At 44.1% G+C, this 23,370-nt stretch overlaps 1 protein-coding gene across 1 annotated transcript in view, besides 2 other annotated features; it reads right to left on the reverse strand.

Moving 5' to 3' along the window:
- The window catches only part of RAD18 (RAD18 E3 ubiquitin protein ligase), an 86,398-nt gene extending 79,510 nt beyond the window's left edge, over window positions 1-6,888 (reverse strand). The window contains exons 1-2 of the mRNA NM_020165.4: window positions 6,751-6,888; window positions 2,336-2,417 (exon numbers count right to left, since the gene is read on the reverse strand). Of these exons, the coding sequence (NP_064550.3) occupies window positions 2,336-2,417; window positions 6,751-6,801 (133 nt within the window). The 5' untranslated portion in view covers window positions 6,802-6,888. The remainder of the gene's footprint in view (window positions 1-2,335; window positions 2,418-6,750) is intronic.
- Window positions 6,736-6,905: an enhancer, noted in NCBI's record as "active region_19395". NCBI's record gives its function as "activates an Ori minimal core promoter by ATAC-STARR-seq in GM12878 lymphoblastoid cells {active_cell/tissue: GM12878}" and the evidence as "EXISTENCE:reporter gene assay evidence [ECO:0000049][PMID:35858748]".
- Window positions 14,421-14,715: a silencer, noted in NCBI's record as "tiled region #3594; HepG2 Repressive DNase matched - State 12:CtcfO". NCBI's record gives its function as "represses a minimal TATA promoter and a strong SV40 promoter by Sharpr-MPRA in HepG2 cells {active_cell/tissue: HepG2}" and the evidence as "EXISTENCE:reporter gene assay evidence [ECO:0000049][PMID:27701403]".

Below are 23,370 nucleotides of genomic sequence, written 5' to 3' on the forward strand. Positions count from 1 at the left end.
CCAGTCTGTAACAAAGCCACTGTGAGGGAGTGAGGCCCTGTCTCCCAAACAAAACAAAACAAAAACAACGTTATTAGCTATGTCACAAAATAAAGGAAGAAAATCATATGAGCATCTCCATAACTGCAGAAAATACTTGACAAAATTCAACACCCATTCATGATTTAAAAAAAAAAATCCTCTCGCCTAACCAGGGGTAGAGAAGTGCCTCAACTTGGTAGGTTTATGAAAACATATTAAGAATATAAAAAAAACTTACAGCTAACATCATACTTAATGGTAAAAGACTGAATGCTTTCCCCAAAAAATTAAGAGTAAGGACAGGATGTCCCTCCACACCACTTTCAACACTGTAGTTGAGGTACCAGCCTGTGTAACAAAAAGAAACATAAAGGCATATAGATCAGAAAGGAATGAGTAAAACTGTCTTTATCCACAAATGACATGATTGTGTATGCAAAAATTTCTAAGGAATCAACAAAAAAGATGCTGGAATTAAAGTGAATTTACTGCAGTCAGAAGACGAAAGGTCAATATAAGTTATATTTCTTTGTGCAAGGTCTGTGCAATGAAAATCAAACAACACTGTTGAGAGAAATAAAGATAGAGAAGTGTATCATATTCATACACTGAAGACTCGGCATTGTTAAGATGTCAATTCTCCCAAATTGATCTCTAGATTCAATACAATTCCAGTGAACATCCCAGCAGGCTTTTGGTAGAAATTGACAACCTGATTTTAAGTTATACATGGAAATGCATTTAAAATGCAACGATCCTAAAAAAAACGAAGAAAAAAAAGTTGGAGGACTTACAATGCCTGACTTCAAGACTTACTACAAAGCCACAGTAATCAAGATAGTGTGGTACTGGCACAAGGATAGACATATATGAGTCTAGCATATAAGCATTTTAAAATATTGTACCTTGAGGTATTTACTGCAATAGGGGTTATCCTATCATTGTTCAGGAGTTAGACAAACAGTTTACAGATTATTTAGGTTCATGCTCTTTCCTGTTCTCTATTTTCAAGTTGATTTATCTTGGAAAGCTAAAGCAACAGTAAACTTAGGCCTAAACAATTGGTTTTAGTGGGCAGTAGTTTTGGTGAAAAACTACTAAGTTTCTAAGATCAATGGAATAGAAGAGTCCAGAAATAGACTACAGATGGCTAGCTGAGGTCATACTGACTGAGATGGGGAGAAATTTATCAGATAATGAAAATGTTCAGTATCTTAATTGCAGTAGTAACACAGCATACACATTTGTCAAAATTCATGAACACTTTTATACCTTAATGTGCACTTAAAATGGATGTATTTTATTGTATGTAAATTACACCCAAATAAAGATGATGTTAAAATATATTTTAAAACAATCTCCAAAACTTATCTTGGTTTTTAATGTGAATCTTGTCTGGAAGAAAACTAACATTGTTAAGGACTCATAATGTGCCGGACAGTGAGTTCTGCACATTTAATTCTCACAAACATTTTCTAAAGTAGTAAATTCTCACCCGATTTTCAAGAGTCAAGCCCAAGGGCATCTGCAATGCCCGTGCTGCCGTCACTGCTACCCTCTTACTATGTCTTCTCCACAGAAACTTTTCCACCAAAGCTACTACCAACTAAAACCAATTTCTTAGGCCTAAGTTGACTGTTTTTAACTTTCCAAGATAAATCAACTTGAAAATAGAGGACAAGAAAGATCATGAACCTGAATAACCCATAAACTGTATGTCTAGCTCCTCAACAATGATAGGGTAACCCCTATGCACTAAATATCTTAAGGTACGATATTTTTAAATGCTTATATACTAGACTCTTAAAGAGAAGTACAAACAAATTCCAACATGAGTCTTTCCAGCGTCACATAGCAGTTAAGGTATAAAACTGTCTGTAATAAAGTCAGTGGTAGAATTCTCCCACTGGGGCAATATTCTTATTGTTACAGATTTTTAAACTTTGAAATTCTATATCAAGTACTACTTGGTGGAACCACCTATCTGTTATCCTGTTAAAAACAAAAATTCTGAAACTTAACGTCAAAAAACACTTGGCAAATAAAGAACCACTTATTGTGACCAAAAATTTTACTGCCATAAATGCTATAAGAATCATAAAAATATCAAAGAGGAACGAGGTAGAAAATATAGAAGCCTTGTAAAAACCTTCAATATTCAAGAGGAAGGCAGTGAAAAAGACCTTCTGAAAAACTACAAGATAGAAGAGCTAAAGGTGAAACATAAATATGTGCACATATCTTTGGTGTTAAATTAACACTACCTCATGTAAAAATCGCAATTTACTAACTCACAGGAACAAAACATACTTACAGTTATGTGAACACTGAGGTATTATCATTGCAATGTTGAAATACTCGAAGCAAATTCCACACCGCAGCAAATCATCTATTGTCTGAAATGCAAATATGCATATATACATATCAGAAAGACATCAAAATTGGAAGTCCTGTCACAAAACTTTTTCTCTATCCCCTAAAAAAAAAATCAAACTCTTTGTCAAATACACAAATTCAAAAGCTAACTCCAGATAAACTGCAAGGGATCTTGACAAATAAATAAAAACTTCTCTCATATGACTCTTATACATTCAGTCTCAGGTTGCCCAAATTGCTTTAGACAGCTAAAGATGATGGCACACCGATTCTTGTGCCATATTGTCATCCCTTCACATAAGGGCTACTGTACTTCTGTTCCACTTCTAATGCGCTTCCAGCTCTTACTCCAAGCCTCCTCCTCTTCAGACTCCAACACCTAGCCTATAGTCACTATTGGGTGAAAGGTGGCCATTGCCACCACACAAGTTAAGAATCAAATCAAAGAATGTTAAAGCCAAACTCCAGAAACTGTCTAGTCAAAAGAGGAAACTGGTATCAAAAGCAGGCACACAATAGTAGGCATCAGTCAAGCCAAGACCAAAATTCCTGTCTCCCGTCTGGCAGTCCAGTGCTTTCGGCATGGTACTACACATGCAGCCAAATGAGGAAGCCTGGAAAGAGCTGGGGCAGTGAAAGCAGAGGAAGGGAAAGTGGACAACTTGGAAAGAGAGATGTGTGCCAACCTGGAATGCAATCCAAACAGGAACGGAACTACTCTGGCAACCTAAAATCTTTCAAATTGTTTAAAATAAAATATTATTCCATTCAACAGAAATATTTTTTAAAAGGAGGAAGCTCTCGACGGGAGGATCGCTTGAGTCCAGGAGGCGTAGGTTGCAGTGAGCCCACATCGCACCACTATACTCCAGCCTGCATGACCGAGTGAAACTGTCTCAAAAAAAAAAAAAAAAAAGAGGAAGCTCTCCATCATACTGATATGAAAAGATTGCCAAGATAAGTGAAAAAAGGAAATAAGGTATAGACAGTACATATACTATGCTACGGTTTGTTTAAAAGGAAGAGGTGAGTAAGAATGTATTCTAATAGGCCTAGCATGGTGGCTCTGTAATCCTAGCACTTTGGGAGGCCAAGGCAGGAGAACTGCTTGAGTCCAGGAGTTTGAGACCAGCCTGGCAAAATAACAAAAATCCATGTCTATAAAAAATTTAAAAATTCGTTGGGAGTAGTGGCGCATGCCTGTAGTCCCAGCTACTCAGGAGGCTGAGGCGGAAGGATTGCTTTAGCCCAGGAGTTCAAGGCTGCAGTGAGCCGTGATTGCCACTGCATTCCAGTCTGGGCGACAGTGAGACCCTATCTCAAAAAAGAAAAAAAGGAAAAAAGAATGCATTCTATTTTCATTGTAAATGTAAATAATGAGAAGATAAACAAGAAGTCATAAATAATGATCAGGGCCAGGAACATGGTAAGAAGGAGACTTTTACTTTTTATTTTATGTGTATTTTGAACCATGTGAACCTATTACCTGAATTTTAAAAATGTAAACAAAAAAGGACTAATGTCGCTAATGGTCCATATGATGAAATATTATGCAGCCATTAAAAAACATGCTTTCAAAGAATAATTAATGCCCTAGGAAAATAAAAATCAGAAAACAAACCTATGCCAATAATACATAATAATAACAACTCTGTAGTTTAATCTTCATAGCAATCTTATGAAGTCCACAGCATCAGTATCCCAATTTTAAAAATAAAGTCTACAGAGTTCCTAAGTTGGCTGGATCAAACCCAAGAAGTTGACTCCACAGTGATCCCAAATTTTAAATGCACAAAAACCAAAGGAAAATAAGGTAAAATGTTAAACACTGGTTCTCTGGGTGGTAGAATTATGGATGGTTTTATTTTTCTCCTTTATCTTATTCTGAATTTTAATTTTTTTCTACCGTGTACACATATTACATTTACAATATGCCAAAAACAGTAAATTTTTGTTAAAGTAAAACCAGGGAAATAATAAAATGCCAAAATCTTCCATTATTGTGGATGGTAAGCTGTCACAGACACAAAAATCTAAAGGGTTATGTTCAAGATCAATTAAGAGCAGAGGCAGGCCCAGAAGCCAGAACCAGTCTATTATATCACACTTTCTTATCTATGCCATCCTCTTCTGGTGGAGGAATGATTCTGAAAGATCTGCAGAGCACAATTGTGGAAGTTGACACTACATCAGATGAGCCATTTCTGGTTCAAATTTCTTGTCATGTCACTCCAAGACAGTAACATGCATATCACATGCGCCTCAACCAACTAAACAAAAAATGATGCCTGAATAGAGAGTGGTCAGCAGACTCCCCAAAATTTCTTTAGTTTAGAGAGAGAGAAAGTGAAAGGGAGAAGTAGAAAATGGGTGGAAAAACGTAATAATTACAAAAATACTCTTAAGTTTTTGGGGTTACAGATCCCTTTGAAAAATGGATGACAACTATGGACTCTCTGCTCAGAAAAACATACATGCAAAAATTTTACAAATAACTTGAGACTCCAAAGTCTTTCTGTGAATCCTAAGTTAGCAACCATGGATTCTGAGTCAGACTTCTATTCAATAAAAGAAGTAACTTCAGTCAGATCTGCTTCTGGGATCTGATAGTTCTTTGTGCCTGGAAGAGTTCAAGCAAAAATTAGGTGAGAAATTGGCAGATGTGTTATAAAGGAGATTAAAATACTGAAAGGGGCTGGTTTTCTAACCTTAAGATTCCATGATTCCAATGTGAGCAAAAAAATACGGGCTCAATCAACTCTCTGGTTGAACACTCACTGAACGCTCTGTGGTGCCAAACTCTACATTCAGTGCTGTGGTGAGATACCAAAGTCAGAGAAGACATGGAACCCGCCTCTAAAGAACACTGAAATTGTGGGAATATGTAAAGTGTGCTTAAATCTACAAAGCAGGAGCTTTACAGGTTACAGAGCTCTTTTACTTTCCTTATCCAAGTCAAGCTTCATGACAACAAATTAAAAGGGGAAAGAAGCACTTAACACAGTGCTAATAATAATAAAATATATTCATTGAATGCTTACTACATTCCAGATACTTTCAATCAAGCAGCAAATAATATTTGAGCACCCACTTGGTGTCAGGCACTGCAGTAAGCACAGTGAATACACAGCAGAATCTGTGCCCACATACATCAACTAATTTATTTAATCAATCCTATGAACTGTTATTTTTGTCTCTAATTTATAGTTGAAGAAATTCAGGCTCAGAGAGGTTAAGTTACTAACCGAAGGTCATACAGTCAAGAGGCAGACAGGAGATTTCACCCAGGACCACTGGAACTCAAATCTGTGCTCTTCTCCACTGCATCCTGGTGCCAAGCCCACAACTCCAAAACTACAGCTTTCCTGGATCATTTCACAATGTCAGCTTCTCATCATGCAGATATCTCAAGTCCCCAAGCACTCTAGACGTCACTGATGACAGCAGGAAGAACAAGGCCTTCTACTTACTTTAGCCTTCACTTAATTCTAAAGTCAAATTTATGAGTCAGTGGGACAGGTATTATAATCCCCAAGTCTACAAAACTGAGGGAGAAGAAGGCTATCTTAGCCACTGTGAGAAACGGAAATAATCACAGAGCAAGAAGAAACACCAAGCAACTGATCTTTATCCAGCACAGCAAAGTGCATCTGCTCTTGAGCAAATCCAGGGCCCACCACTACTGTAAATGGAAACTGGTATGCCTTGCCAAAACAGAAAGTGGCCACAAAAATAAATGTTATTTAAGTGAAATAATCAGACGCAATGCAAGATCAGCGCTGAGCCTGAGTCCTGATCTCTGTTTAAGAGACATGAGCAATTGTTAGAGAAGAGTGAAGGTGTGTTAGAGAGGAGTTGGGGCAGTATGTCAGAACAAACGAGCACTACGTTTATTGAGAATAATCAGAAGAAATGAAAGAGCCTGTAAAGGAGACTACCTGCTTGGCTACGTGATTACATACATGTTATCTGATAAAGTGTCCACCCAAAATCATGTCCGGTGTCACTGTTTAGTGCTTGACACAAAGTAAGCTTTCAGTAAAGAACAGCTGTCGATGTCATTGTTTGGAATAACTGTTTTTCTCCATGTTATTGTTGGGATTGGATCGCAGAATAGCTGGTGCCATAAGACTGCCAACCTCAGCTCACCAGGCTTGTCCTTGTCACTTATCAGAGGAGTAAACTGAGACCCAGAGCCACGCGGTCGGCTAGTGGCAGGGCAGAGCCGGATACCCGGGCCCAGTGCGACGCTCGCGCCTCATCCTTTCTCCTTAAGGCGAGGACATCCTCCTCAAAGGGAGGGACCTCCCCCCGCAGACACCCGGGAGCTCCCAAACTCCCCGAAGCACTCACCTTCATGACTGCCAGGCCCGGAGGCCACCGAGACTCGGCCAGGGAGTCCATGGTCGCTCCCGAGGATGCTGGGGGTCAGCCACCCACTAGCCTCCGGCGCTCCAACACCACTCGAAATTCCCCGCGCTACCGCATTACGTCAGCAGCCCGCGACGCGCCAGAGGCGGGCGCGGAGCCTGCCGGAAGTTGTAGTAGTATGTGGGCGGGGCGCCGCTTAAGGGCTTGTACTGCGCATGCGCCAGGCTTCTGCCGCACTTACCTTGAAGAAAGTGAATGGTTAAAAAGCGTAGAGCCAGTTGAATATTAAGAAAAGATAGCCAGGAATCAAACCAAATCCAGACCTCACCAGATCTGTCAAGGTCCAGGCTCATGACCCCCCTCCGGGTCGCCCACCCTAATCGCAGTGACTATCCGTCCTTGCTCTGAACAGAAGTTTTTATATCCATTACTTTATGTCTCCCGTATCACAACACTGGGAGGTAGATGTTATCATTGTCAGTTTACACAAGAGAAGCCTACGCCCGAAAAAGTGGATAGAGTTTCGAGTCAGATTCCAAACAGGACCTCTGGGCTTTAAATGGGAGCTGTTGCTTTTATTCATATTAAAATTTTAATGCACGGTTTTTCTTTTTCTTCGGAGAGAAGCACCATTAACTTTGGCATATAGCCTTCTAGATATTTCCTATGCAGATTGACGAAGATTCTTTGCTTGAGCAAACTTTAGTCAGGCTCCTGAACCTTCTCCTAGGCCAATCTGTGTACTTCCTGTAAAAATCCAGTTTTAGCAAAAAACCCTGCTAAATCAAGTTACCAAGAATCCCCACCTTTGATATGTGATCACTCTTGATATCTGATGTGTTCCTCATCCTCCACCATCCCCCAGTTGATGTCTGATCACCCTGGCCTCTTCAGCAAGAATCTACTGTTACCTCTGATGTTTCCTCTTAGTAATTTTTCATGCACTGCTCCCCACCCTGCTTCCTGGCTATAAATTTCCATTTGCCCATGTTGTATTCAGAGTTGAGCCCAGTTTTCACCAATTGCAAGACACAGTTCCAGTGGTCTCTATACCTACTTGAATTGTCCTGATTAAGTCTTCCTTATTGTGCTTTAACAAGTATCATTGAACAATTTTTTTCTTAAACGAGATATAAATATAGATACTTTTTTTCATACATGTTATATTAAATGCATGAGGAATGGAGGTTTACGGTGTCCACCCCCGCCCCCCACTTTGTATCAGCCAATCATAGAACGGCATGCAAATGAACGCAAATGAATGCCAGGCTGAGCTGGAAAATGTCGGATAGTTCTGGATGTGGAGGAAGTGGGGTCTTGGAGAGACAAAGGAAAAGCATTTAAGACCAGGTCCGTGGCCTGAGTGAACCAGTAATTGTTTTTTTCACACTACTAGTTGGACAAGGTAATTAGGTTTAAGGTGACAAATGGCTGGGAAGGTGAGAGAGGAAGAGAGAGGAGATGAGAAAAAAGAGAAAGAATGGGTAAGGAGAAAGGGAGAGAGAGAAAAGACAGGGACAGGAATGTACTTTTTGCATTCAACCATGGAGACAGATTTGGAAGGAGGCAGTACTTGTTAGTCCTGGGGCCAAAATACATTTCCCTATCTATGGAGAGCCTCCAGGACAGGATGCGGTGCCATTCATCTCTGAGTGTCTGCCAATAGCTGGTGGGTGAGGCTGAATGAATGGATGAATCACCGACTAAGCCCACATTCCCATAAATCTTTTCCTCCCAGGCTGAGCATTTCTCTTCCTGCCATCTTCAGCAGCACCAGGGTGATAGATCCCATCAAGCCCACCTCTAGGCCCAGGAAGGAAAGTTCAAGAACAAGCGCACTTTGAGCTCAGGAAAAGGCGTTTGTCTTGGGTGTTTATCTAACCCTGGGAGCCATTCTCCTCTTAACAAGCTGCTGTTTGTATGGACTTTCTCCTTCTGTTAGATCAATAAAGAGATTGTACTTCCTTATTCAGGACTAAAAACAAAATGTTCCATGTAAAATAAAAGCAGGCTAGTGTTTAGTGGAATCTTCTGTGGCACATAGCACACAGCGAGAAGCCAGAATAGGATGGCCAGATAAAATACAAGTTGCCCAGTAAATCTGAATTTCAGATGAACCGCACACAACATTTTAGTGTAAACCTGCCCCAAATATTGCACACAACCTATTAACCAATTATTTGTTGTTTAACCAGAAATTCAAATATTTAACTGGGCATCCTGTATTTTTATTTGCCAAATCTGACAACCCTAATTAGAGAAGCATTCTCCCAACTGAGTGTGGGGCCTGCCCTGGATTAACCTGGGGATGTCCTGTGGCCCCTGAGCTCCTTTCCAGGTTCTCTTCATCCTGTTCCTCTCTGCCCAGCACTCTCTCTTCCTCTAGGCCCCATCTTCCTCATTCTAGTTATGGGAGAGGGGATATTAAAGGAGCTCCCTCCCTCCCTTTCCTTCCTTCCTTTCTTCCTCCCTTCCTTCGTTCCTTCTTTCCTTCCTTCCTTCCTTATTTTTTTTCTTCCTTCCTCCCTGCCTCCATCTCTCCCTTCCTCCATTCATTTTAACAAATGTTTATTGAGCCACTCTCCACTTGTACCAGGTGCTAGAATACAGAGGTGAGTAAGACAGATATGGCCTCTGTTCTCCAGGAGCTGGCAGCCTGGGGGTGAGCATGGAGCCAGGATAAAAAAAAAGAGAGTTTGTAAAAAAATGAGTAAGATAATTGCATAAAACAGTAACTGATGTAAAAACAATAAAAAAGGGTGATAAAATGGACAGAGGAGGGGACACTGTAAATTGTATGATCTGGGAGGCTCCCTCTGAGGAAGTGATATATGGGCAGAGACCCAACTGATAGAGAGAGGCAGCCATGCAAAGACCCAAAGACCCCAGAAGTGGAGAGTTCCATGCCTTAGTAAAAAGTTCAGATTTTAATCCATGTTAACTTGGGTAAGTTGTTGACCTCTCTGTGCCTCAATTTTCTCATCTGCAAAATGGGGATAATATTAGTATTTGCCTTGTAGGGATAATTAAAGGAGTTATTCTAGGTTTAATGCCTAGAAGGGTGCCTGGCAACTACTAAGCCCTGTGTGAGTGTCAGCTGTCATTAATATTATGTTGCTATAAGCACAGGGGGGAAGTCCTTAGAGGCTTTAGGCAGGGGTGTAATTTACATTTTCCAAAGGTCATTCTAGCTGCTGGGTGAAGAAGGGATCAAAGTGGAAAGTGTACAGTAGAAGAAGGTGACAGGGACTGAACCTTGGTGGCACAGTCCGGGTGAGGTAAAAGTGCTGTGGACCTCACACTTACTGTGGACCCCAGTTCTAGGAAGCAGGCCCTGCTGTGTCCTTGTGACCAGGCCCCTATCTTGACTCCTCCCAGACATGGACCCTGCCTTATTCTCTCCCTCCCAGCCCTGGGACAGCTAGGTCTTGTTTACACTTACAGACTGTGCCCATTACCCCGTCCACCTGCCTGTCAGACCACCATCACCTCTGGGAGCTTCTCACTGAGGCCAGCTACCTGTCTGTCACCAAAGCCTCTTCTTAGGAGGAGTCCCAACCCCTCCTATTGATCCTTCAAACAAGTGTTTGCTGAGCACCTACTATATGCCCAAGCAGAGGTGACAAGTACACTAGACAGAGGAATGCCCAGTCCAAGTCAAGGTCTGCAGATGGGAAGAGCTTTGAGATCAGACAGGAAGAACTTTTAAGGGAGGGAACTGTATTAGGACTTTTTGGTTCAAAGTGCTGAATTAGAAAGCTAACTCAAAATGGCCTAAGCAAGAAAGGCAGTGTGTTAGCTCATGTAACTGAAAAGACCTGAGGTAGGTATTCAGGTATGGCTTGATCCAGGTGGTCTCTCTTCTTCCCTCTCAATTACTCTTTCTTCTTTTTTTTTTTTTTTTTTTGAGACGGAGTCTAACTGTGTCGCCCATGCTGGAGTGCAGTGGTGTAATCTCAGCTCACTGCAACCTCTGTCTCCTGGGTTCAAGCGATTATCCTGCTTCAGCCTCCCTACTGGGACAACAGGCGTGTGCCACCATGCCCAACTAATTCTTGTGTATTTTTAGTAGAGACGGGGTTTCACCATATTGGTTAGGCTGGTCTTGAACTCCTGACCTCGTGAACTCCCAGCCTCAGCCTTCCAAAGTGCTGGGATTACAGGCGTGAGCCACCGCGCCTGGCCATAATCACTCTTTCTTAATGCCTTATATCTTCTTCCCTCACTGTCGACTTAACGCTCATGCAGGCTCCCCCCATGAGAGGCAAACATGGCTCCAGAAGCTCCAGGCCTGCATTCTATTAGCACAGCTGCCTCAGCAGAAAGGACGGACCTCATTCCCAACAGTTCTCAGCAAAAGTACCAGGAGCAAGTCTCACTGGCCAGAATTGGGTCACATGCCCATCCTTGAACCAATCGCTGTGCCTCAGATTATCTAAGTGTGAGTTTGGGAGTGGGAGTGATGCCCCAAATGAACAACAGGGTGTGACATACAGAAAAAGAGGGAATGGGCGCCTGCAAGTAAGCAGGTTGCAAAAATGCTTATAAATTTTTCCCCTGCCTATCCACACTTTGTTTCCATGGGACTCCTTCCAGCAACAGGTGGGTCTGTGGCTCCACTCCTTGAATCTGGGGTTGATCTTGTGATTTGCTTTGGCCAACAGGACATTAACAAAGGTGACCCAAGCAGAGGCTTGTGCACTAATAGCCACCATGTGAATAAGCCCCAGCTTGTGATCCTCCTGGGTGATCAGAGACAGACAGCCAAGTTACCTTGCCACCCCAGCCAACATCAAACCACCTACAATACATAAGTGAGGTCATCCTAGACTATCCAGCCCCAGCCAAAGCACCTGCTTACTGCAGAGATCAGCTCAGCCAGCCCTGACCAGAAAACTGCTCAACATACCCACGGGATCATGGCAAATAATAAATGTTTATTCTCTTAAGCCTCTAACTGTGGGCATGGGTTGTTCCACAGCAATGGTTTACTGATGCAATGATTAAAAACCATGGTGACCCTGTACAGGAGTCTTCCACTTGCCCGGAGCCTGGCTCAGGAGCCCCCAGATACAGAGTGGCTGGAGCCCCAGTCCTGCTGGTCCTTCATCTTTCCCATAGCCAACTCCCAGCATCCTCTCCTGCTCTGTTAGACCCCTGTGCCTGTCTCTGCTCTGCTTCCATTCTGGTGCATAATTCCGATTACGGGTGCCAGGGGCTGGCCCGTGCAACTCCTCCTGCCTCCATAGGCTCCTAGCCATTCTTCCTTACAAAGAGGCAGCCACCAACCTGCAACCATTTGAAAGGTGTGTGGCTGAGTCCTGTACCAGAAAATCTCTCCCACCATCTGTCATGGCATCTGGACGCCCTACTTTTTTGGTTGTTAAAGCTTATTTGGTTTCCCAGAGCCCCAGAGGAGAGCTGACTGCTCCTCTGGGAGAGTGAAAGCAGGTTACACCTCATGTTATAGCACAAACACACTAATAGCAACTGTTTAGTCTCCCTCACTAAACCATGGGTTCCTGGAGGAGACAGAACCAGCCTTTCTCTTCCCAACTCCTCTGTGCCCTAGCACAGCTGTGAGTGACCTGGATAGACCCCACAAATGTAGCGGGGACCCAACAAATGTTCTCTGGGTGAGTTACCCAGAAAGACACCAAACACATGCCTGAGCCTGGGGCCCTGGGACATAGGAGTGCCAGGGCTCAGGGAGCCAAGCAAAGAACCGTTGAAAGGAGACAGAATTGTCACCAATTGATATAGTTTACAGCAACGAAGGGAACATGATGTAGAGTCACACAGACAGAAATCTGAATCCATGCTCTGTCACTTACCATCTGGTCTCGGATAAGACACTCATTTCTCTGAGCCTTATTTTCCTCTTCTGTAAGATTGAAATAATAATGACTGACTTAGAGGGCTGTTATAAGGATTAGCTCTTTTAAAAAGGCTGGAAATCACCTAGCAGAGCACCTGTCACATGGTGAACGGCTGCGTATGGCAGTGGGAGTTACAGTTGTAATTATTACTGTTATCATCACTAATAAATATGTTGACCAGAGGGTACAAAGGTTAAGAGCGCCAACTCTGAAGTCAGACTGCCTGGGTCCAAATCTCAGCTCTCCCACTTGCCGTGTGTGGAGTGTGGTCTCTAAATACCATCCCCACTAAAAGGAAACAGTGTTTCTTGGAGAAATGTTTGGTTTTAGGTCTGGGGCAGGGCAGGTACAAGATGAGCCTAGAACATCTTATTGTGCCCCCAGTAAAGAAGTTGAAAACTAGTGGATGTAAGAGGCAGCTTGAACTTGCTTCTACGCACTTAAGCAATAAAAAGAACATCAATTGCAATGGATTGAAATGCACTGGATATTTTTACATCGAGAAAGTTATAATTAATCTCAGCAAAACAAAGGAAAGCCTTCATTTACTGCCACTGGGGGTTGTCATTGTATCAGCTTCTTACTCTGAAAGTTGATGAATAATAGAAAAGAATTAAGCATTTATTCCTCCTTTTCAGAATAAGCTATGTTTAGAGAAATACTAGCTCTTGTGGATAAGTATTCAATTAGTAGCTAAAACATATAGAGGAAATGATAAAATTAGAAACTCACCATTTTGCAGATTCTAATGAAATATTATTGTTTCAAGCAATGATCACCAATGGGTGATAAAACAGTTCTGAGAGTGGTTCTTGGGGAACTGGATATGTATCAGGTCCCCAAATTATCAGGCCAACAAGTTCACTTGTTACTCACAGAGAAAGATGAGGATGAACCCACCTGAACTTATTCATCAAGTTTTTTGATCCTAAAAGTGGGCACCAAGCAGTGGGTACCTCCTGATGTGATGTAATATGAAGTGCACGTCACCTAGGAAGTGTACTCTCCAAAAATGGTGAAACTGAATCTAATCAAAGGTGTAGATCCAACTTGCCATTTAAAAGACATACAGAGTAGGATCAGGCAGGGTGGCTCACGCCTGTAATCTCAGCACTTTGGAAGGCCAAGTATGATCCCAGGAGTTTGAGACCAGCCTGGGCAACGTAGTGAGATTCAGCCCCCACCCCAGTCTCTACCAAAAGAAAAAAAAAAAATACAAAAAATTAATCAGGGATGGTGGTGCACACCTGTAGTCCTGGCTACTCAGGAGGCTGAGGTGGGAAAATCATCTAAGTCCAGAAAGGCAAGGTTGCATTGAGCCGTGATTGCACCACTGCACTCCAGCCTGGGCGATGGAATGACACCCTATCTCAAAAAAATAAATAGAATAAAATAAAAAAACATACAGGGGAGGACAGCAACCAGTGAACTGACAACTCAAGGAAGCAGTCAGGCAAATGCTGGTTGTGGGGCATTTCACCAGAAAACAAGCTCAGCCAGTCATGACGGGGCATACTCTAGAAAAATTAAGAGACAATACTCATTAGACGGGATGCTGATTTGAACAAAGCAACTTTTAAATGACATTTTTGGAACAATCAAGGAAAATGGAATATGGATTAGGTAACATGTTATTGAGAAATTGTCATTAGTTTTATTCAGTGTGATCATGAGATTGTCATCATTATGCAGGAAAATGTCATTTTTAGAGACATATACTGATATGTTTCAGGGTAAAATGTCATGGTGTTAGCGATTTTTTTGAAATTCAAAAACAGAGGTAAAGCAAACTCATAAAAATGTGAATAATTTTTAAAACTAGATGATAGACATAATGGGTTAACTGTGCTATTCTCTGCATTCTGTAAATCTGAAAATTTTGATAACAAAAATTAGAGGCTGCTTACCCTGCCTGCCATCTTACAAATGACCACATGAGGGCAGCAGAGTATCAGGCTGGATGTGGGCTCGCGCTTTGAGAGGGAAATGCAGATAGGCGATCATCCCACTCATGCGTAATTTATTTACTTCTCATCTTTTCTTCTAACCCATCATTTAGTAAGCACTATGTGCAGGGGCCTGTGCTGGGCCTATAGGGGACAAAATGTCGAATTCACCCGATCTGGGATCCTGCAGCCACATATATTATGTCTGTATCTGGAGGCCAAGGAAGGGATGGTGACCAGGAACCTCTGTCCTGCTGGGTCTACCAGAAACACAGGTATCTCTGTGTTTGGCATCACTGGAAATGGAGACCTTGGCCAGACATGTTGGAAACAAAGAAATTAATGTGGGGAATGGAGGTAGCTGGCCACTCATGTTGTGTGAGTTGATCTGCATGCATTGGGGTTTACCACTTACTACTGTGATCTTGGGAAAATTACTTTACCTCTCTGAACCTCACAGGACTAATAATAGTTTATATCTTATAGCTGTCTGTTGCAAGAGAATGAGACTGTCTATGAAAAATTGCTTAAAACAGTGCCTAGCACATAGTAAGTGCTCAAGATGAACATATTTACCTGTCTATATGGAGAAAATGGTGAATGCAGCTTTGGGACTGGGGCACTGGAATCAAGACTCTCCAAAAGGCAAGATCACAACTATAGCAGCTACATTTATTGGGGGTTTCTCTGTGTCAGATGCTGTCCCAACAGCAAGCCTACAAGGCAGGGCTGTTACTGTCCCTACTTTAGAAATGAGAACTGAAGTGTTCACTTTCCCGAGGTCTTTCAGTGAGAAAGGAGGGAAGCTGGGATTTAAACCCAGGCAGCCTAGCCTTGGAGTCCTCATTCATATCCACCAGGGTGGCTGTACTCCTTTTTGGGGATGGGTGCTGTGGAAAGACAAAGCATTTACCTGGAGACAGGGGTGTGATCCTGCAGTCGACAGGGGCCTGTGGACCTGGGGAAGGGATGCGAGAATGTCCATGCTATGAATGTGTTTCTCAAGAGTGTCCTCTGGAGACTGGAGCTCTTGATAAGCTCTCTGGGCTTTGCCTGCTCAGCATCTTTGTTCTTTCTTTCAAGAGGCAGGATCGCACTCTGTTGCCCAGACTAGAGGGCAGTGGTGTGATCACAGCTCACTGCAGCCTCAAACTCCTGGGCTCAAGTGAGATCCTCCTACCTCAGCCTCCCAAGTAGCAGGAATTACAGGCTCACGCCACCATGCCTGCCTCATTGTGTGTGTGTGTGTGTGTGTGTGTGTGTGTGTGTGTGTGTGTGTGTGTGTGTGTCTGTAGTGACAGAGTCTCACTATGTTACCCAGGTTGGTCTCAAACTCCTACCCTCAAGTGAACCTCCCTCCCTACCTCCCAAAGTGCTGGGATTACAGGATTGAGCCACCACACCTGGCCCCAGCATCATCCTTCCAATAATAGAACTCATCTATTCATTTTGGGAAACAGCCCTTAATCTACTCTCAACCATGTGGTCAGGCAAGGCTAATCCCAAATCTAGCTCAAGACTGGGCAAGTAGCCAGATCTGGTCAATGACAGTAAGACCCACCCTCCACTGAGTGATTGGTTCATGGTAAGCATGTGACTCAAGCTAGGCCAATCAGAGGCAATCCTGGGACTCTGACTCATTCACTGGGAAAGAGAGACAGTTTTTTCTACTGGGGTAGCTAAATGCTAGGACGCAAGTCTAGAACTGCTTTGGGCCATCTTTGCCATCACTTGAGAAGAATCAGCCTGAGAGTACAGTGTGAAGGAACGCAGGGCTGAGAAGTGGAGAGACCCAATCCTGTTGACATCCTTGGAATACTTGGGCCCAGCCTGCTTAAATCCATTTTTATCTCTGGACTTTTCATACAGATGGGGGCAAAAAGCATGCCTTGTGATACAAACCAGGCTAAGTTGGGTTGTTGTCACTGGTAACCAACCAAGTCCTTAATACATTTCTCGACAGCATGGTATAAAGCAAAAAGGGTCATGCTATTTATCAGAAGATTAAAGACCTCTAAGCACTAGTTTATGTCCAGTTACAATAACTGGCAAATGAAGAAGGAAAATCTTGTTCCACGGATGACTGGACTCTGAGTTGCCCGGGAAGGGAAGTCTGCAGCTCTGTGACATGCAGGGGCCATTGATCTCCATGTTAGGAGGAATTTGAATCAATCTCTCAGTGGGTCAGACGGACCATGTGTGGATGTCTGGATGGAGAAGGGAAGCAGAGCTGGAAGTCCGGAAACATCACTGAATGGGGGCACTCAAGGCTCCGAAACACTAATAATAATACTTCCTCCTGGCCAGGCCCGGTGGCTCACACCTGTAATCCCAGCACTTTGGGAGGCCGAGGCGGGTAGATCACTTGAGGTCAGGAGTTCGGGACCAGCCTGGCCAACATGGTGAAAACTCATCTCTATTAAAAATACAAACAATTAGCCAGGCACGGGGATGGTCGCCTGTAATCCCAGCTACTTGGGAGGCTGGGACAGAAGAATTGCTTGAGCCCGGGAGGCAGAGGTTGCAGTGAGCCAAGACTGCGCCACTGCACTCTAGCCTGGGTGACAAAGCAAGACTTCATCTCGAAAAATAATAATAATGATAATAATAATAATAATACTCTTCCTCTTGCATCGGCCCTCAGATAAAGAGAAGCAGGTTCACTGTAATCTGGGATTCATGACATAGCATCGTGGCCCCTGCAGCACTTTAATCCTCAATTATCATGCAAGCCCTCCGTTGTTAAAAAGTGGCTGTGGTCCAGAGCCAGAGATGATGAATTATTACTATTATTATTATTATTAGACAATGTCTCATTCTGTCACCCAGGCTGGAGGGCAGTGGCACAATACTGGCTCACGGCAGCCTTAAATTCCTGGGCTCAAGTGATCTTCTTGCCTCTGCCTCTTAAGTAGCTGGGACTACAGGCGTGCACTACCACACCTAGCTAATTTTTTATTTTTATTTTTTTAGTAGAGATAAGATCTCATTCTGTTGCCCAGGCTGGTCTCAAACTCCTGGCCTCAAGAGATCCTCCCGGCTTGGTCTCCCAAAGTGCTGGGATTACAGGCATGAGCCACCACACCCAGCCATTAATTTTTTAACAATAATAAGTAGAATCAAGTAATGCCCCTATTGCAACCTTCCAAGGGCTTCTCATTGTTCTTAGAATAACTTCAAAATGGATACCATGGCGCAAAAGGCCCTGCCTGTGTTCTTCTCGACAGCTGTTCTCACATCTCTCACCCCCTCAGCTCCAGCCACATGGCCTTCTCCATTCTCCTCCTGTGCCAATCTCTTTCTCTTCATGTGCCTGCCTGGTCACCCCTTGGCATGGTGGTCTCCTTCTCAGGCTTTTCCCAGTTTAAACTCCCCTCCTCAGAGAGGCCGGCCCAACCTCTCAGTCTAAAGCAGATTCTAGTATTCTTCCTCCCCATGCCCTGGGTGTTTCTGGCTTTGTGGTTGTCATTATCTGTCGCCAGCATTTGGCCATAAGCTCCATTGGGATCTTGGTCTGCTTGGTTCAAAGCTGCATCCCAGAATAACACTTGGCACACAGTAAGTTTCAAGAACTGTTTGTTAAATGAGGGAATGACCACCAAAGATATGACTTTGTTTAGCTACCAAGCCCACCTCACTCAGAAATGGCACTTTCCCCCCAGTTGTAGGTGAAGATTCATTTCATCCATAAATAATTATTGAGTACCTACTATGTGCTAGACACCCTACTACCATCTCGAGACAGTATGGACAAGATAGACAAAACCCCAGATTTTCTGGAGCTTACATTCTGGATTGAGGGAGACAGACTACACATAAAGAAACAAATCAATTCCAATGATGATAAGGGCAATGAAGAAAATAAAACATATTAACCTCATGGTGACTGCTTTAAGCAAGGAGGTCAGGGGAGGTGTCTCTGAGGCAGTGAGGAGTGGTTGGGAGACCTGATACTAGGTTCTCTGGGTATCAGAGGAAGGTCCCAGGCCTTTTTAGCCACCCCACAAATCCCAGCCTGGAGTCCAGTATGGAGCCGGCCCCGGGCCTCCAGTGTGAGGCTGACCTGCTTTCTGGGGTGGCTGAAAAGGCCTGGGAAGTTCTTGTCCTCTCTCTGCCTCTTCTTGGCATCCCTTTATTTAAACACAAACCTCCACTCACTGCCCAAAAGAAAACTGCCACTTCTGCTGCTTCCAGGGGCAGCAGTGGGGGCGTGTTGAGGAGGATGTAAGGTGTTGGGGGTTGGGGGGTTCTGGGCGGGGGGGTCTCTTACTCCCGCCTCACCCCCATCCTTCTCCACAACCCTCCACTGCAAAAGCTCCTCTTCAGGCTACTCCAAGGCCATGCCTCGCTGCTTGCACTGAGGCAGCAGTGGGGTCCTTTCTAGACTTCCCTGCTTAGGTGTGGAGGCAATTGTCTGGCAGGCTGTTCCTAGGAGGCCTTTCCCCAACCCCCGCACAGCTCTTTCTCTAGGGAATTTCCCAACATAAAATGCTCCCTCGTGTTAGAGGCAGGATCTGACCCTTGGCTGCAGCCTGGGGCAGGATGGCCTGGTGAAACCCTGTATCCATCCTTGCTCCTTCTTTGGGGGCTGTGTGAGCAGCCGATGACCACCCACCCCACCACAGCACCCCCCATGCCAAGGGGGCGCAAACTCCCTCTGGGTGAGGTATCTTGGGTCAAACACTCCCAGTTTGGTGAAGCTGTCTGTTTCAGATCACACCCAGTGTCCTGCCTCATCCTCAGGCCTAAGAGAGAGAATGGAGACCCAGCTCCAGAGTGAGACTGCCTAGTTCTGAACCCCAACTCCGTGATGCCTAAGTAGTGTGTCCCATGGCAAGTTACTTAGCCTGTCTGTACTATTTCCTCGTAGGTTAAGCTGGAGTAACATTAGTATCTGCTTTAAAGGGTGGTTGAGAGGACTAATGAGTTGGCCTTTATATGTGAAGGGGCTTAGAACACAGTAAGTGCTCTAACAGGTTGGCTATTATCATTCTGTCTACTTTTTCCTTTTTTTTTTGAGACAGAGTCTCGCCCTGTTGCCCAGGCTGGAGTGCAGTGGCACAATCTCAGCTCACTGCAACCTCCACCCACTTGGTTCAAGTGATTCTCCTGCCTCAGTCTCCTAAGTAGCTGGGACTACAGGCATGCACCACCACACCTAGCTAAGTTTTCTATTTTTTGTAGAGACGGGGTTTCTCCATGTTGGCCAGGCTGGTCTTGAGCTCCTGACCTCAAACAATCCCCCTGCCTCAGCCTCCCAAAGTGCTGGGATTACAGGCGTGAGCCCCTTTTTTGTTTTAATTGCAAGAAGCAGAAATCGCACTCAAGTTACACCAGGTAAGGAGGGCTTGAATGTAAGGTCTCCCAGTGAGGAATAGGCACTGGGGCAGGTACTCAACCGGGGGTTCTGGCTCTCTCTAGGGACTGGATGGCTTTGCTCTCGAAGCCTGTGATCTCTGCCATTGGCTTTGCCCATTGGTTTTGTCACTGTGCTCTCAGAGTCTCATCCCTAGTGACGTCAGCCTCCCTATGGTGCAGAAGGGCCACCTCTCTGCCTCCGACCTCCTCGTTGTTGTGGGCTCTCATCTTCTGGTCTCCTGCTTACAGGGCCTGTCATTTTGTTACTTCTGGGTCAAGCTTCCCAAGAAAGGTCATCTGCAGGTCCAGCTTTGCCAAGGGCCATGGTGACTAACCAATCTACCATCAACTGCTGTTGCATCAGCTGCCATCCTTGGCTCAATCCAATGGAGTCAGGGGGTAGGGTAGCACAATATCAAACATGGTCGTTAAGGGAGTTCCCTTTAGAAAGCAGAGGGGATGTGGTGGGGCTGGTGGCCCTCCCCTATGTGTGCTTCTGCAGCCTTCAGCCAAGGCACTGAGTGAGCCCTCAGAGCTGGAGGAAATAATCAAGGTCAGCTTCCCCAACCCCCTTGTTTTACAGATGAGGATACTGAGGCCCAGACAGGGGAAGAGACATTCCCCAAATCTGGTAGCCAATGAATGGCAGAATCCCACTGAAGCTTTTTCCTTAGAGCTCCTTCGGTTCAGTCACTCATCAGATGCCCAACAACCTGCTCTTTCTGTCTGCAGAGCATGGAGATGAAGCAGAAACTCTTTAAGGAGCAGAAGCAACCATGGATGAACACAGCAGCCTTTGCTGATTGCCTGGATGGTCCAGGGATGTTACGTAGATCATCCACTCCAGACCGCAAACAACCCTGTGGAGCAGAGCCTTCTTAGCCCTGTGTTCCTGAGGAAATGGAGGCTCCAGGAGGTTTTGTCACTTGCTAAAGTCAACCAGCTGATACAAGCCGGTGCTGGGATCCACACTCAGATCTGTCTGAATCCAGAGCCTTTGCACTTACACCCATGACTGAAGCTCGTCCAAATCACCCAGCCAGTGTGAAGCATGGGAGTGGGAGATGCTTGGGGTGGGTGGAGGGAGAGTGGCTGGGGTCTAGGGAGCATGGGCCAGGGTCCAGGAAAGCCAGAGACCCTTTCTCTCCCTCAATGTGATCCTGGGACTTGGGACAAGCCCTGGATCTTCTCTGTTCCTCAGTTTCCCCATCTGTAAAATGAACATCCCATCTAATATAATTTATATGTTCTTGGGAGAGTTGGAGTAGAAAAAGGGGAAAATAGAAAATGTTCTCAACAACAGTAAAGACACATGTGGCACTAATGCAAGGAATCGATAGTAAGTATTCTCAATGTTAGGGCTTAAAAGAAATGGATGAGTAACAGAGCTATCATAGGTTCCTGAGAGAAGCTGAGATAGACCTTACTCCTAAGGTGGTTGTCAAGGCAAGCAGACCTCCCTGCAGCTAGGCATTTGGGGGCCATGGAATTCTTGCTGGCCTGAAAGTGCTTTAAGTCCCTGCATTTTGAACTCCCTGAGGATCAGTCTTCTCATTTATTAACTGGGGGTGCTAGCAGAATCTACTCCCACAAGTTGTTTGTAAGAATTCAATGAGGCAAGGCATGTGAAGTGCTTGGTAATGTGTCAACATACAGAATGCACTTGATGGATGTTAACTTTATTATTGTGAAGTCAATGTACAGTCCATGGACAAGGACAAAATTCTACATATTTGCGTGAGCATTTTTCTAGTGTATCAGTTAGCTATTGCTGCATAGCTAACTACCCTAAAACTGAGAGACTGAAAACCATCACCATTTATTATTTTTCATGGGCAGCCCCAAAATCTCCTTTGGGCAACTTGTATTCTTCCCTGATGCAAAGTCTTGGTGGGGTTGACACCACCCTTCAAAATACAGGTTGCTTAAGGCCATTTTTCTATTCCATCCCCTTGGTCTGCTTTTGGGATAAACCTGTGGCTTAATTCTGGTCAGTGAGAATCAGACCCAAGACTACTGAAGCTGAGGAGGTGCAGGTAGTGGAAGCTTCAGCAGCCACTGGGCAACCACAAAATATCAGACAAGCTGTCTGAGCATAAAGTCAACCCAGAGAGCTGAGCAGAGCCAACCTGAAAGAAGAGAACTGCACCCCGGAGACAACACTCACATCGTCACATCATCCTGGGTTTGAAGCCATTTCTAGACTGGAGTTTCCACCCATGTGAGCCAATAAATTCTCTTTTGCTTAGGGCTGTTTGGGTTGAATAGTTTGTCGTTTGCAAACAAAAAATTCCTAAACAGATGTGCAATGGACAATCCAGCAATGGTCTATGCTTTGTGGCTGACAAAATAGTCAAGTTGCTAAAATCTGCCCTTTGTGCCTCTGTGGGTTAGAGACACTGTTCTATTTATCATTGAGTAAAAGTCGATCTTAGAATTCTAGAGTGATCATTTTGTGCAATTAGACTGTATGCAACTTGAGGAAAGGAACTGGGGCTCATCATTCTGTGTCCCCAGCAGCTAACTTGAGGCAAGTTGCATAAAAAGGTGCTAAGGTGCTTCATACACGCTTGTTGAATGAATGAGAGGCTCCTGATTTGAAGCTTTCAAATGTGTACTGTTGCTATGAGCAAGTAAACAGATTATGGAACACATACAAAGTTTAGCCTCTTAGAAGGTTAGTAGTTTGAATGTGTCCCCCAAATTTATGTGTTGGAAACTTAATACCCAATGCAATAATCTTGGGAGAGGGCACCTAATAAGAGGTGACTGGTTCATGAGGGCTCCACCCTCATGAATCAATTAATGTCATTGCCATGGGCATGGGATTGTTATCATGACAGAAGGTTATAAAAGAGTCTGCCCCTCACACTGTCTCTTTTGCCCTTCTGCCTTCCACCATGAGATGGCCCTAGCCAGATGCTAGTGTCATGTTCTTGGACTTTCCAGCCTCCAGAACCATGAGCCAAATAAGCTGTTTTTCTTTATGAATTACCCAGTCTGTTCTATTCTGTTACAGCAACAGAAAATAGACTAAGACATTTTCATAGCAGAGGAGTCTGGAATTCGCAAGAGACCATCATTGAGTGATGAGCATTTTTGGTGGGAATGAGTCACTGAGGCTGCAAGGAGGCCCTTCCATGAAGATCCAGCAGAGGTTTAATCAGAAAGAGAGACTGAAAATCATCACCATTTATTATTTTTCATGGGCAGCCCCACAATCTCCTTTGGGCAACTTGTATTCTTCCCTGATACAAAGTCTTGGTGGGATATAAAGGCCCTGGAGTATTTCTTGACTGCAGCAAGCAGCAAGCTACCTTCATCATGAAATCCTGCCCCTAATCCTGCTGTAATGAGTACAATGCTCAAATCAGAGGCAGTATGACAAACTTATAAAGAGCATGGGTTTGGAGTTAGGC

Source organism: Homo sapiens, chromosome 3 (assembly GCF_000001405.40).
Source record: "Homo sapiens chromosome 3, GRCh38.p14 Primary Assembly".
Classification (NCBI taxonomy): Eukaryota; Metazoa; Chordata; class Mammalia; order Primates; family Hominidae; genus Homo; species Homo sapiens.